Source organism: Homo sapiens, chromosome 3 (genome assembly GCF_000001405.40).
Source record: "Homo sapiens chromosome 3, GRCh38.p14 Primary Assembly".
Taxonomy (NCBI): Eukaryota; Metazoa; Chordata; class Mammalia; order Primates; family Hominidae; genus Homo; species Homo sapiens.
The window spans coordinates 183,919,287-183,934,823 of NC_000003.12; the positions used below are offsets into that span (position 1 = coordinate 183,919,287).

The 15,537-nt window shown below is 46.5% G+C and overlaps 1 protein-coding gene across 6 annotated transcripts in view; it reads right to left on the bottom strand.

Annotated features, from left to right (window-relative positions):
- ABCC5 (ATP binding cassette subfamily C member 5) overlaps window positions 648-15,537 on the bottom strand; it is a 97,951-nt gene continuing 83,061 nt past the window's right edge. For 5 of the 6 annotated variants that reach the window (NM_005688.4, NM_001320032.2, XM_005247059.6 and 2 more), the window contains 4 exons: window positions 9,461-9,539; window positions 8,044-8,157; window positions 6,269-6,433; window positions 648-2,115 (listed from right to left, as the gene is read on the bottom strand). In NM_005688.4, coding sequence (NP_005679.2) covers window positions 2,014-2,115; window positions 6,269-6,433; window positions 8,044-8,157; window positions 9,461-9,539 — 460 coding nt within the window. In that variant the 3' untranslated portion in view covers window positions 648-2,013. The other variant, XM_011512315.2, reaches the window with a different exon arrangement.

A 15,537-nucleotide genomic window follows, 5' to 3' on the forward strand; every position in this document is an offset into this window, starting at 1 on the left:
GTTTAAAAGCTTTCTTGGCTGCATTCAACACAATATAGTCAGAAACTTTAGAATGAGTACCCTTTGCTTTTTTTTTTTTTTTTTTTTTGAGACGGAGTCTCACTCTGTCGCCCAGGCTGGTGTGCAATGGCACGATCTCAGCTCACCGCAACCTCCACCTCCGAGTTCAAGTGATTCTCCTGCCTCAGCCTCCTGAGTAGCTGGGACTACAGGTGCCTGCCACCACACCAGGCTAATTTTTGTATTTTTAGTAGAGACGGGGTTACTAATTTTCAATGGGTGAATCTGAATGAATTGGCTGAAAGGGTAATTATATTGTTTGAATTGCTAAGAATCCTCGATAAACTATTCATTTTAAATACATCTCACCACGACCACCCACCTCACCACAACCACTCACCTTTCCACTCCCCACCCTCTTATGGGCAGCCAAGGAGCTTTATTTGGGGACCATGTCCAGGAACACAGGCAGCGGGACTAAGGCCCACAGAGATGATTCCAGGTGTTCAGGGCCCCATGGCCCTTGCAACCAACCAGCTTTGCTACCAGTCCTTCCCAGATGCAACTCCATTGCTGGATATGCAGGTCCCAAAGCCATTCAGGGATATCTCACTCCCTTCCCAGAGAATTGTTTGATACACGAAGAGTTTTACAAAATCCAAAATAATTTTATTCACATTTTCAGATTTTTGCTTCCACAAGGTGTTCAGCAAACATGCTAAGGCGACAGAATGTCTAGTTGGTCACGACATGCAACGCTGACCATTCAATTGATGACAGCAGTGACCACGCCCACCTGAGCTACCAGCCCCACAGCACAAAGGGGGTTTGCGGGAACACACCAAACCACACAGCAACCAGCAACCTGAGGTAGGTCTCTTTACAGTACAAAAACTTCTACGCCAGTGTGAGACACTGATTAGCAAGAGCTGCTTAAAGTTGCAGACTTTGAGGGGAGAGAGAGAGAGAGACTGTGCGACGACTGCGGTGAGAAAGGAAAACAGACCCACGAAATCCTGAGCCCTGCCACTGAACTGTGGAGGTGTGGGAATAGGCAAATGAAAAAGTGCCACCTCAAAAAGCAGCAGTTGGCTCCAGGGCTTGGAACCAACAGGTCTTGGAGCTGGAGAGCTCTGTGCAGTGGCCAGCCATAGGAACCTGAGGCAGTGGGACTCTCTGTGGATAGACTGATTCTTGTTTAGAAACAACAGCAAAAAGAAGAAGGCAGGAAAGAAACTCCCCGGCTCGGAGGAATGTCTCTGTGATCCCCATTCTTGATGGAGGGAGTGAAAAGGGGCCTGGGCTTCGCCCCGCTGCTCTCCTGACAGAAACAGTAAGTGACACCAGGACAGAAGGCAGGAGCCCTGAGAACTCACGGCGCTCTGCATGGTCTCCAGCCGCCCACCCGTCTCCAGCCACCCCTGGAGCGGCCGTGGGGAGGCGGCAGAGGGGGCTGTCGGAGGGCCCACTATTGCCACACGTCTTCCTTTGGACACCCAGAAAACCTGGCACCGTGAAACCACCAGCTAGAGAAGAATGAAATGCTACTCTTCCTACAGTCTAATAGCAAAACCAGATCTCTAGTACAGCAAACTGTACAAAAATGATAGAAAGGAATATGCACTGTTATTAGCACAGTGCTTATTTTAATATAAAATAAACAGCTTACATTTTCACTGTAAATATAGGCTATGTACAGAATTATATATAGATATAGCTACACGTATAAAGCTTCATTATAGGCCTCTGATACAATTATAATAACGGTTCCCTGAACCTTTTAGAGTGCAATTAAGAACAAAAACTAAATTTTGTTTACATGAATATGGAATAAATACAATAATCAAAATATGACTCTCCCTAAAAGTGAAACACACAAGCCAATCCGGAACTGCTGTGCGAAAGATAAAATCGAGAAAGGCAAGGTTTCGGTAGGAGGACGCGATGAGGGGCCCGCCCCAGGCAGGGAATGGCAATGCTCTAAAGAAAAGAGACTTCGTCAACAGGGAGGAGTCAGCCCTTGACAGCGACCTTGTTCTCTGCAGCAGCAAACATGGCATAGAATCGGGAACTGTCGTTGGACAGAAGGACCGATGGGGTGTCAAACTCCACCACCTGCAAAAGAAGGAGACGCCGTCAGGACACAGCTCTGGGTCATGCAGGGTGATTCAGAGGATCCACGGCTCAGTAAGTGCCAGTGCCCTCTGAGGGTAGAATCTGGGGACAATTCAACTAGCCCTGCGTGCACCTCCCCCCTTATTTTTTTATTTTCAACTATCCAGGGAGTAAGGGAAAGGACAGAGAAAATGACTTCCAGCATTTTTGTAGTATGTGGTTTTGCCTAATAAAGTAGTATCATAGCAAAAAAAAAAAAAGAAAACGACTTCCAGACCTCCTTCACATAAATCCAAATTCCTTCAGCCTTGGGAGTGAAGGAACCAACCAACCAGGTCTATAAACTGCAGGAGGCTGGTGGCTCACGCCTGTAATCTCAACACTTTGGGAGGCTGAGGTGGGCAGACTGCCTGAGGTGAGGAGTTCAAGACCAGCCTGGCCAACATGGTGAAACCCTGTCTCTACTAAATATACAAAAATTAGCTGGGCATGGTTGGCGGGTGCCTACAATCCCAGTGACTTGGGAGGCTGAGGCAGGAGAATCGCTTGAACCCAGGAGGTGGAGGTTGCAGTGAACTGAGATTGTACCACTGCATGCCAGGCTGGGCGACACAACGAGACTCTGCCTCAAAATAATAAATAAATAAATAAATAAATAAATAAATAAATAAATAAATAAAAAACAACAGGCTGGGTGCGGTGGTTGATGCCTGTAATCCCAGCACTTTGGGAGGTCGAGGCAGGCGGATCACCTGAGGTCAGGAGTTCGAGACCAGCCTGACCAACATGGTGAAACCCTGTCTCTAGTGAAAATACAAAAATTAGCTGGGTGTGGTGGTGCATGCCTGTAATCCCAGCTACTGGGGAGTCTGAGGCAGGAGAATCGCTGGAACCCGGGAGGCGGAGGTTGTGGTGAGCAGAGATCGTGCTATTGCACTCCCAGCCTGGGCAACAAGAGCGAAACTCCGTCTCAAAAAAATAAATAAATAAATAAACAAAATAAAATAAATAAACTGCAGGGGAGAGAAGTTGCAGCTCAAGTCAAGGGCACACCAGACAAATGCCATTTTGTTATGCAAGCTGATCTAACCTTATAGAGGGAAATGGAAGAGCTCAGAATGTCTAGTTGTCAGGGGAGAAAAAGGAAGTCAGGGAGTGACTTAGTCAGGTGGCCATTCCTATGATGGACTTCTATGTAGCCGTGGAAAATCATGTGGCAGCAGAACCCTGAATGATACGCTGGCAGAACCCACCTCCTGTGGCAGAGGCTGAAATGCATGTACTCAACTTTCTCAGCCGCCCCCGCCACAGGGCAAAGGCATGGAACATAACCTTGTTTAAGGAGATGTAAGAGGAAGTCTCCTTGGTGCTTTAGGAGAGGGTGTCCTGCTCAGTGGACAGGCCACAAGGAGAACATAAGCGTGTCCTTCCTTTGGACACGTGTCCTTCCTTTGGTTGGGTGCTTGAGCAGGCATCCTGTACCAGCAGGGGAAGGTGAGTACTGGCTGAGAGTGATACAGAGCCCCACACTGCTGAGCTGCACAAAAACCAACCCATGTGGGATAACAAAATCCCATCCTCCAAACCCCTTTTAGTCTGGTATTTTGTGTCTGCGGCAGAGAGCATCCCATCTGTTGGAGTCTGTGTGTGCAGATGCAAGAAAAACACAGCTGGGGTAAGTCAGTGTATTACAATGCTCGTCTCTGGGGGTAAATGGCTTATCATCCTGTTTTTGCCTTTATGCTTTTCTGGTGTGTGTGTGGTTTTTTTTTTTTAGGCTTTCCTGAAATTACAAGGAAATTTTAATTAGCAAGAAAAAAATTAAGGGAAGAGAAGGATAGAGTCCCTCATAAAGAGTGAATGGGCTCCCCACTCCAAAACATCAAGCCACCCATCGAAAGAAAGGGGTCTCAATTTGTGTTCTTAAGAAAAAATTTCCAGCTGGGCACAGTAGCTTGTGCCTGTAATCCCAGCACTTTGGGAGGCTGAGGTGGGCGGATTATCTGAGGTCAGAAGTTCGAGACCAGCCTGGCCAACATGGTGAAACCCTGTGTCTACTAAAAATACAAAAATTAGCCAGGCATGGTGGCACATGCCTGTACTCCCAGCTGCTCAGGAGACTGAGGCAGGAGAATCGCTTGAACCCCGGAGGCGAAGGTTGCAGTGAGCCAAGATTGCACCACTGTACTCCAGCCTGGGCGACAGAGCGAGACTCTGGCTCAAAAAAAGAAAAAAAGAATTTCCCAGAAGATGTTCTTGGTCCCATCTATTATACCTTACTAGGCTCTATTTTAACACCTACTTACAAAGTAGTAGCTCAACGTATCTTATGTATGACAGAATCTCAGTCAACACTTAGTTTAAGGCAAACAAAGATAGTCACAAAAAACACTAGTGTGAAAATAATTTCAAGATGAGGAGAAAAATCCTTAGCCCCCAAGTTCTCTCAATTCAGCTTTGAAGCCCAGGCTGAACCTGCGCTATTTAACCTTTTCTCAATATTTCTCCACAATTTAGACAGTGTGCTGGCAGTGCGGTTGCTGGCCTGAGTCCTGTCCCATCTCCTCCGCTTCCTTTTTTTTTAAATCCCACCAATTTTTACTGTTTGCTTTTTTTTTTTTTTTTTTTTTTTGACATGAGGTCTCACTCTGTCACCCAGGCTGGAGTGCAGTGGCGCTATCTCAGCTCACTGCAACCTCCGCTGCCTCCCAGGGTTAAATGATCCTTCCACCTCAAATTCCTTAGTAGCTGGGATTACAGGTGTGTGCCACCACTCCTGGCTAATTTTTTGTATTTTTGGTAGAGACGGCGTTTCGTCATGTTGCCCAGGCTGCTCTTGAACGCCTGAGCTCAGGCAATCTGCCCGCCTCGGCCTCCCAAACTGCTGGGATTACAGGCATGAGCCACCGTGCCCGGCCTACTCCACTTCCTATGGACTTTCCCTGAGACTTTGTCTCCTCATGTGTAAAGCAGAATCCAGGCTATGTCTTTCTCTAGGTTGTTGTGATGACTGATGGTATGTTGAGAGATTATATGTAAAGCACTAAGCACAGTGCCTGACACACAGTAAACATTCAGTAGAAGTAGCTATTATAGTAGCTGTCACTGTGGGAGCTTCTACAATAGAAGACATGTTACCCATTATAAATGGCTTGCTATTTCCTCCAAATTATTAATTTACTTGTATCCTAGGGGCATGCAAAAGAGGTATTTGTCTAACATAAATGTACTTAACATCACCTGTATAAAGAACTGTAGTACTAAGCACTGCTGGGGCCCTAAAGATGAATGAGCGGTGACTCTGCCCTCAGAGAGCGTTCAGGGAGTTCTCTAGGGAGACAGGGCATTGCACAATTCCTATCAACTGAGACAGAAGAGCTACAAGAGAGGTACAGATACAGTCTAGGGCGGCTGAGGCAGCCAGGGGGTTTCATGGAGGCTTTGGCATCTGGGCCATGTCATTCTTCAGGGACAGGCAGGTTGAGAGCAGGTGGATATGGGAGAGAGAAGGGCAAAGGGCCTTTTAGGTAGATGGAACTATCTGACTAAAGACAGATAAAAAGCTTGGAGAATGCAAGATGTCTATAGCCAACCGCACCTGCAAAGGAAGAGTGGAAAATGAAGAAGGCAAGGCTAGGGCCAGGCTGTGGGAACGCCTGAAACAACAGGGTAAGAAGTTTGGTGCCGCTGCGTGATTGCAAAAAAGCAAACATGTGCTGGCTGGTCTCAGTAGGCCTCCGGGAGCGGTAATCATTGTGTATGTGAATGAATCACTAAGTACATGTACCAGGGATGATAATTGTGTATGTGAATGAATCACAAGTATCTATACTCTCTGGCCTAAGTATGCCAGGGGTGATCATTGTGTATGTGAATGAATCACTAAGTACATGTACTCTCTGACTTAAGTCAGTGTCGCTACTCACAAGCAACAAAAGGACAAATTAGTAAAGTAAAATGAGAACCCCATCAGAGGTGCCTGAGTAATCTTGTGATTCGGAGGCTGTATCCCTCCCAATAGCAAGTAAATAGCGCTGCTGCAAGTGCTTATCTGAATGCCCAGAACCCTACAAAGATGGCAATCAGTCCATCCCTGCCAGGGGCCAGTTTCCTCCCAGACATGCCAAGCCAAAGTTCCTGAAGGACTCGGTACCTGTCCCTGGGCCAGCACCATAATCCTATCGGAGCCTAGAACCGTGTGCAGGCGATGGGCAATGGTCAGCATGGTACAGTCTGCAAATGCTTCTCGGATGGTCTCTTGAATCAATAAGTCTGTCTCTGTGTCCATGGCAGCTGTGGCTTCATCTAAAATCAGAATCTGCCAGAGAAGCAGAGGAGAAAGAAACTCGATTAAATTCCTTTAGCATTCTGGTTAATCTAGATTTTACTAAAATGTATTTCATTTAAGTTTTACACTATCTATTGTTTTCTTTTCTTTCTTTTTTTTTTTTTTTTGAGACGGAGTCTTGCTCTGTCGCCCAGGCTGGAGTGCAGTGGCGCAATCTCGGCTCACTGCAAGCTCCGCCTCCCGGGTTCACGCCATTCTCCTGCCTCAGCCGCCTGAGTAGCTGGGACTACAGGCGCCCGCCACCACGCCCAGCTAATTTTTTGTATTTTTAGTAGAGACGGGGTTTCACCATGTTAGCCAGGATGGTCTCGACCTCCTGACCTTGCGATCCACCTGCCTCGGCCTCCCAAAGTGCTGGGATTACAGGCTTGAGCCACCGTGCCCAGCCTATTGTTTTTTTTTTTTTTTTCTAAGAAAGCACGCATATATGTAAAAACATCCTTTTGCTTAGAAGTGATACAATTTCAAAACCATGTTTGCCTTGATTTCCAAAACAGCATATTTGTAAAATACTGATCTAGGCTGAGCGCAGTGGCTCATGCCTGTAATCCCAGCACTTTGAGAGGCCGAGGCAGGCGGATCACGAGGTCAAGAGATCGAGACCATCCTGGCCAATATGGTGAAAACCTGTCTCTACTAAAAATACAAAAATTAGCCGGGCGTGGTGACGCGCACCTGTAGTCCCAGCTACTCGGGAGGCGGAGGCAAGAGAATCGCGCGAATCCAGGAGGTGGAGGTTGCAGTGAGCCGAGATCACACCACTGCACTCCAGCCTGGGTGGCAGAGTGAGACTCTGTCTCAAAAACAAAACAAAACAAAACAAAACCACGGATTTAATCAAATACTTGCCCCTACATGCTCTGTGACAGTGAGCATGTACAATTAATTCTTTTTTTCCCTTGAATCCAATATGGCTGGTAACATACTGGACAAAAGGACATTCTTTTCCTGTTTATAAAATGAAGGGGCTGGATTGGATGACCTTAAAGTCTCTTGCAATTTTAAAATCTATGTCGGCCAGACACGGTGGCTCACGCCTGTAATCCCAGCACTTTGGGAGGCCAAAGCGGGCAGATCACGAGGTCAAGAGATCGAGACTATCCTGGCCAACATGGTGAAACCCCATCTCTACTAAAAATGCAAAAATTAGCTGGGCATGGTGGCGCACGCCTGTAATCCCAGCTACTCGGGAGGCTGAGGCAGGAGAATCACTTGAACCTGGGAGGTGGAGGTTGCAGTGAGCCGAGATTTGGCCACTACACTCCAGCCTGGAGACAGAGCAAGACTCCGTCTCAAAAAAAAAAAAAATCTTCTATGTCTATGGTTTGCAGTCGTACAACTACTCAATGGCCAGAAACAAAAGTTGGTCTTGGATGAAGGTAAAAACAAAGCAACCCTGTTCTCCCTCCCCAGAACCAATATACCCAAATTGTGTCAGGGTTAGAGTTATCTCTGGTCATGCTCTTAGAAAGTGCCAACAGGGATCAGAGCCAGGAATACCTTTGGACCCCAGTGTGTCAGGGCAAGGCTGCACTAAAACATTCCCATTCTCTGCTGCTGCCAACCCCAAACTGCCTTACCTTACAGTGGCGGAGCAGGGCTCTAGCTATGCACAAGAGCTGCCGTTCCCCCACTGAGAAGTTATCCCCATTCTCCATCACTTCAGATTCAAGTTTCAGAGGTAGCTGAGCAATCTAGGGAGAAAGAAACTAGAGATCAGAGGGGTAAGAAACTAAGCTGAATTTCCTGAAAATCCAAGGACAGAAAGAAATGATTCTGAAAGCGATGAAAGAACTATTAGCCAAGAACCTGTCTCATCTGGAATGAAGGTGCAGGTGTACTGATCATGCGTGCTAGGACCCACTTCCAAGGCAGTCCCTGATTCCAATAGACTATTCTGTTAGCTTTATACCATTAAAACATCCCAGAAATCCCAACGCTTTCATGTCCCCAAAATCCAGTCACATAGTGGGCCTTAAGTTTTGGTTCTGAAAATATGGTCTTGCAATAGGAAATAGTATAGTAAGGAAAAGTACTCTCCTTCTGAAGTCCAAAGCCGTAGGCCCGTGCCTGTGAAACATTTTTTGTAAGCTGCAGAACTTATTCTTCAAATGAGAAGAATCCCGATAGAGCAGAGGAAAAAACAGAACTCATCTACTAATAGTTGAATTAGGGCAGGGGATCCTGGATCCTGACTCAACCCAGGCATAACAGAAGCCTCACCCTAGGCCAGTGGTATCAACCTGTAGACTGCAGCTGCTCGTGAGGGCCTGTGAGGGCCTACTGAGTTGTCCCAAAATGTCTGTGGTCCATGGTCCATATGCACACTGTGTGCTTTCTGCAGACTCAATATGTTATGTATCTTTTTTTTTTTTTTTTTGAGACAGAGTTTTGCTCTTGTTGCCCAGGCTGGAGTGCAGTGGTGCGCTCTCGCTCACTGCAACCTCTGTCTCCTGGGCTCAAGCGATTCTCCTGTCTCAGCCTCCTGAGTAGCTGGGATTACAGGTGCATGCCACCACACCCGGCTAATTTTTGTATTTTTAGTAGGGACAGGGTTTCATCATATTGGTCAGGCTGGTCTCGAACTCCTGACCTCAGGTGATCCACCTGCCTCGGCCTCCCAAAGTGCTGGGATTACAGGCGAGAGCCACTGCGCCCGGCCACGTTATATATCTTTTGCGTATATGTGGACGCTTCAAAGTATGTTACACTGTTATGACTAATAAATTAAAAGCATCACTTAATTCTAAGTAGTTGTCATTACTATCTTCAATCAATGGATAGTGCAAGGCCAATATGACCGTAGGCAGTGTGGGCGGTGGGGTTGAGAGGGATCAGCTTTTCCCAGGTATCTGAAAGACTTGGAGAGCCCTGCCACGAAGCCTTTGTCCACAGGCATCCTGGAGGCACGGCCAGAGCAGACGGGGTGTGGCAAGGGCACTGCTGTGCTTCCACCCTCACCATCTCAGCACGGCTTCCCCTAAGCTCTTCACTTACACATTCTTTCATGTGTGTCCTCTCCAGGGCATCCCAAATCTGGTCTTCAGTGTACTGGTTGAAGGGGTCCAAATTTGATCTAGGGAGAAACACAGGAATTTCTCAGTGGTCCCACCCTAAGCGACCCATTGGCAAAGGCTGTCTGTGGAAGATGTTTAACACACATGCATAGGGAGAGAAGACTCCAAACCCTGATGGTCACAGACGGCTCATTCCACAACCAGACAGATGGGAGCTCTGACAGCACACTGGGCCACCTCCTCAGCTCCATAAAACTTGATTTATTCTTTTACTATTTTTACTATGTAAATAATACTAGTTATAGAACAATTTATAAATGCAAATATCGGCAAATATCCTTCTAGATTTTTTCCTGTGCGTGTATTTGTTAAAATACATCTTTCGGCTGGGTGCAATGGCTCATGTTTGTAATCCCAGCACTTTGGGAGGCCGAGGCGGGTGGATTACTTGAGGTCAGGAGTTCAGGACCAGCCTGGCCAACATGGTGAATCCCTGTCTCTACTAAAAATACAAAAATTAGCCAGGTGTGGTGGTGGGCACCTGTAATCCCAGCTACTCAGAAAGCTGAGGCAGGAGAATTGCTTGAACCCAGGAGGCAGTGGTTGCAGTGAGCTGAGATCACACCACTGCACTCTAGCCTGGGCGACAGAGTGAGACTCCATCTCAATAAATAAAATAAAATAAAATAAAAAATAAATCTCTCCATACGTACAAACTTAGAAATGCACCCTCTTTCTCTTGGTTTACCTGGTTCACAACCCTGTAATTGAGTATGGGGCTCCAGGACAGCTGGCCTGACCAGGGAAAGAAACTGATCCAGTAGAAGGGAAGAGGAAGAAGGAGAGAAAGAATAAAGGACAAGTCAAGAAAAAGGAATTTTCCTGGCACAGAAGACCAGTTTGGGGACCATTTTTGCTTACTGTGCCAACAGTATCTACCTCAAGGAAATCAGAGTTGATACCAAAAGAACGAGACTAGAAATTTTTTTTTTTACAGGCGCATGCCACGTAATTTTTGTGTTTTTTGTAGAGATGGGGTTTTGCCATGTTGCCCAGGCTGGTCTCAAATTCCAGTGCTCAAGCTCAAGTGATGAGCCTACCTGGGCCTCCCAAAATGCTGGGATTACAGGCATGAGCCACTGTGCCCGGCCAGGACTAGAAATGTTTAGGACAGGAGAAAATTATCTTTGCCACTGAGGATGAGGGTGGAGAATTGGTGGTGGAACAGGTATTTGGTGGAAAACTGGGATGTTACAGTAATTTTGGACGGCTTGTCTTGATCTACACATAACATTTGGAGGTCTAGTAATCTGAAAAGTATATTTGCTTTGCTCATAAAATTATGCCTGGCATGTGGGAAACAGGAAACTCTCTGGGAGAAACATGGACTTTTACTCTATGCCACACACCTGTCTCCATATCTGGGGTTACTAATTACAGGCATGCAAATACAATCACGTCATTATCACAGAACTCTAGTGAGAGGACAGCAGGCCGGCACCGCCTCATTCCTGCTATCTGGGCATCTCTCGATCTCCTGGGAGATTCTGACCCGCCTTGCTCTCCAGCGCCTCTTGCCCTTTGCACGGCGTTTTTCCCGCTTGGAACATGCTCGCTTCTCACTACCCTTGGCCCAGGAAGTGTTGTTTAATATGGTACAGTTTAATGGGTTGACCTGTGTCTCCCCAAAAGACACCTAAGTACCTAAGAATGTGACCTTATTTGGAAATAGGGTAATTTGCAGATGTAATTAGTTAAGATGAGGTCATACCAGAGTAATAGAGAAGGGTGGGCCCTTAATCCCATATGACTGGTCCTTATGAGAGATGGCCACGTGAAGGCAGAGAAACACTGGGAGGGCATCATGTGACAATGGAGGCAGAGGCCAGAGGGATGCATCCAAAGCCAAGGAATGCCAAAGATGGCCACAACTACCAGAAGCTGGAAGAGGCAAGGAAGCGTCCTTCCCTATAGGGTTCAGTGGCAGCATGGCCCAAATGACACTTTGATTTTAGACTTCCAGCCCCCGGAACTGTGAGATAGTACATTTCTGTTGTTTGAAGCCATCCAGTTTGTGGCTTAAACTGTTTATGACAGCCCCAGGAAACACATACAGCAAGTAAGTCCATCAGATGCCTCTGGATCAAAGAGCAGGCATGGAGCCCCCTTTCATCCACAAGGATATGCTCCAGGGAGCCCCGGTGGATGCCTCAAACCACAAATAGTACTGAACCGTATAAATGCTATGTTTTTTTCCCCTATATATACATACCTATGATAAAGTTTAATTTATAAATTAGGCACAGTAAGAGATTAACAATAATGAAATCAAGCAATTATAACAATATGCTGTAATGAACATTATTTGACTGTGGTCTGTCTCTTGCAAAATATAGTATGTAATATTTTTGGACCCTGGTTGATCATGGGTAACTGAAACTGCAGAAAGTGAAACCATGGAGAAGCGAGAACTGCTGTACACAAAAGCGCGGTCTCCTGCCCACTGAGTAGCCGGCCCTATCAGATTTTCTATGGGCAAATACGACAACAGGCTTAACTTTTTTTTTTTTTTTTTTTTGAGACAGAATCTTGCTCTGTCACCCAGGCTGGAGTGCAGTGGCATGATCTCAGCTCACTGCAACCCCTGCCCTGCCCCGCCAGGTTCAAGCAATTCTCATGCCTCAGCCTCCCAAGTAGCTGGGACTACAGGTGTGCGCCACCACACCTGGCTAACTTTTGTATTTTTTGGTAGAGATAGGGTTTTGCCATGTTGGCCAGGCTGGTCTTGAACTCCAGGTCTCAGGTGATCCATCCGCCTTGGCTTCCCAAAGTGTTGGGATTACAGGCGTGAGCCACTGTGCCCAGCCCAGGCTTAACATTCAATTCACCCAGGTCCATCACACCAGCTGAAGGAGCCTCAGACCACTAAACAATGGGTTCCAGATAGAAAATGAATATTTGCATACACTCGTAGGTGGTACACAGTAAGGCAGACCAGACCAACCTCAACAGGGAGCTCAATCAGGAATGGAAAAATATCTCCCCTCATTAGAGAAGCCAGATGGTCCTGGGTCTGACCCACAGACAGAAATGAAAGCAAAGTTATGCATCCACTTAATCAAAAGGATTCAGTTAAGTGATTGGATAGAAAAGTGTCTGAACATGAGGGCAATTATTTTTAACAATCAGAACCCCTGGAGTCCTGATCTTGCCAAAGGTACATTTTCATCTTTGGTTCTTCATATTTTATTTTTAGCAATAGTCAACATTGACCACTGCTAAATGAAGCCAAGAATATCTCCCAAAGTGTGAGACAACACAGCAATTCACCCTCGGTATAGTAGAAAACACTGCAGTAAACCATGCTGCCCTGTCATCTGTGCTGGGTGCTTCATAGTAGCCTTGGTTTTCAGAGCAGGAGATTTTGGGACTCACATACCTTCTTCTATCAGGAAGCAAAAGGAAATCTTATTCTGAGGTATGCAGAAATACGGACTGATTTTGGCTTTTAGTTGTTAAGAGTCAGATTAGGTGAAAAAAGTTAAGAGGAAAAAGTAGAGCAAATGAAAAATACTAGAGAGAACGGCATAGATTGTGTGACTTTCTTTTTTCGTTTTTGAGATGAGGAAGGCAGATGAGACTTTGAAGATGCTGGGAAAAGAAATGTAACTAAAGGTCAAGATCCACAAAGAGGCACGTCTAACTGTTTTTTGGAGAGATGGAATATCAAGGTCGTGGTTAACAGTGGGGTCGTGACACACGCTTCAGGAGGCAATGCAGTGAGTGTAATGAGTAGAGCCAGCCGGCCAGCCTGGGTTCAAATCCTAGCTCTGCCACTTTTAGCTGTGTGTCTTTGGGCAAATTACTCTCACTCTCTGGATTTCAGTTTCATCATCTATATAAAACAGGAATAATGGCCAAGGGCGGCATCTCATGCCTATAATCCCAGCACTTTGGGAGGCAGAGGTGGGAGAATCTCTTGAGCTCAGGAGTTTAAGACTAGCCTGGGCAATATAGTGAAACCTCACTATTTGGTAAAATAAAATATGCATAACAATGGTGTCTGTCTTATGAAGTTTTGAGCATTTGTTAAATACAATTAAGATGGTTATGACAGGTGGGGAATGGTGGCTCATGGCTGTAATCCCAGCACTTTGGAAGGCCGAGGTGGGCAGATCACCTGAGGTCAGGAGTTCAAGACCACCAGCCTGGCCAACTATGTGAAACCCCATCTCTACTAAAAATACAGAAATTAGCCAGGTGTGGTAGTAGGTGCCTGTAATCCCAGCTACTGGGGAAGCTGAGGCAGGAGAACTGCTTGAACCTGGGAGGTGGAGGCTGCAGTGAGCAGAGATCATGTCACTGCACTCCAACCCAGGTGACAAAGCGAGACTGTCTCAAAAAAAAAAAAAAAAAAAAAAATTTAATGAGCAGATCAAAAGGAGAAGGCACCTGAAGAAGAAGAAATGAGAACACTGTTTCTTGCTAATGAATGGGCACCAGGCAGAAGTGCTCCGGGTAGACAAGGTACCCATCACTCACAGGGGACGAAGACTCAAGAGACATACCAGAGTGACAGCTGGGGACAGCTCACTGTCAGCCTAGCCAGGCTCCAGACAGTCCTCAGGATGAAAAACACTCCAGCTGCGGGGGATAGGACAGAGGCCAGGGCTGGGTTTCCTGGGTCCAGGAAGCACAGGGAGCTCTGGGAGAAGGTGGGGAAAGCTAGGGCCATGAGACAGAGGCCAGCAAAAGTGTTTTAAGGCCTGGATGAAAAGGGGCCTCTCTTCTTGGAGGCAATCATGAGGGCAAAACAATAGGGAGCTGCAGAAACACAGGCTGGAGAGCTCAAGCCCACACAGGCAGATAAAGGAGGGCCAGGATGCAGGTACTAGAATGACATTCTGGCTAATCTAAGGAAGGGGTGTGGTCCCAAATTATCTGGCCTATGATTTAGATTAGATTATATTTGTACACAGAACAACTCAACAATTTTTATCTTGTGACTTTCTGAGTTTTGTTGGTTTGATTTTGGTTTTACCTTGCTTTTCCTCTAAGAATTCCTTTCAAGTTTTAATTGTTTACAGGTATCTCAAGAAGAGGTACCCACCCTCAATACTGGCTAATGGTGGTGGAGGCGCGGTTTCCAGATTCAGAGTCTCTAGGAGGCAGCTGAGGAAACAGCTTATTTATCCTGCCTGTGCCTTGGGAAACTCATCATAGGCTTTCTATCTTCTAACTAAAGCAAAAGAATACTGGCTGGGCGCGGTGGCTCACACCTGTAATCCCAGCACTTTGGGAGGCTGAGGTGGGCAGATCACCTGAGGTCAGGAGTTCGAGACCAGCCTGGCCAACATGGTGAAACCCCGTCTCTACTAAAAATACAAAAATTAGCTGGGCATGGTGGCCCATGCCTGTGGTCCCAGCGACTCAGGAGGCTGAGGCACGCAAATCACTTGAACCCAGGAGGCAGAGGTTGCAGTGAGCTGAAACTCCAGCCTGGGCAACAGAGCGAGACTCTGTCTCAAAAACAAAAGAATACCAAGAGCTGAACATTCTCTGGGATCCGTAACAAACCTGAGAGGATAAAAGGAAACCTTAGGGGATAAAAGACAAGTCCAGCATTTAATTCTTCCTCAGTGTCTACTACAGACTAAAAAGCCAAAATTAGAGCTGGCAAAAATTTAACTGAAATGATTTTCTCACTTTGCACAGCTGACTTCCTAAGCTGCACCTAAGCTCAGTAGCTACAAACCCAGGACAGCAGTGTACCAACTACTGAGCTAGCCACAAAGCAGTCAACATTTCTTTCTCTGGAGACAAATGGTTCCAATTCTACTAAAGCTACAGGCGCACGATGTTCTACCCACACCAGCTGCACGCGCCCATGGTCAATTCTTTTTCTTTTAACATTTTATATAATTTAAAAAAGCAGAGACGACGTCTCACGATGTTGCCCAGGGTGGTCTCGAACTCCTGAGCTCAAGTGATCCTTCCGTCTCGGCCTCCCAAAGTGCTGGGATTATAGGCATAAGCCACCGCACCTGGCCTCATGGT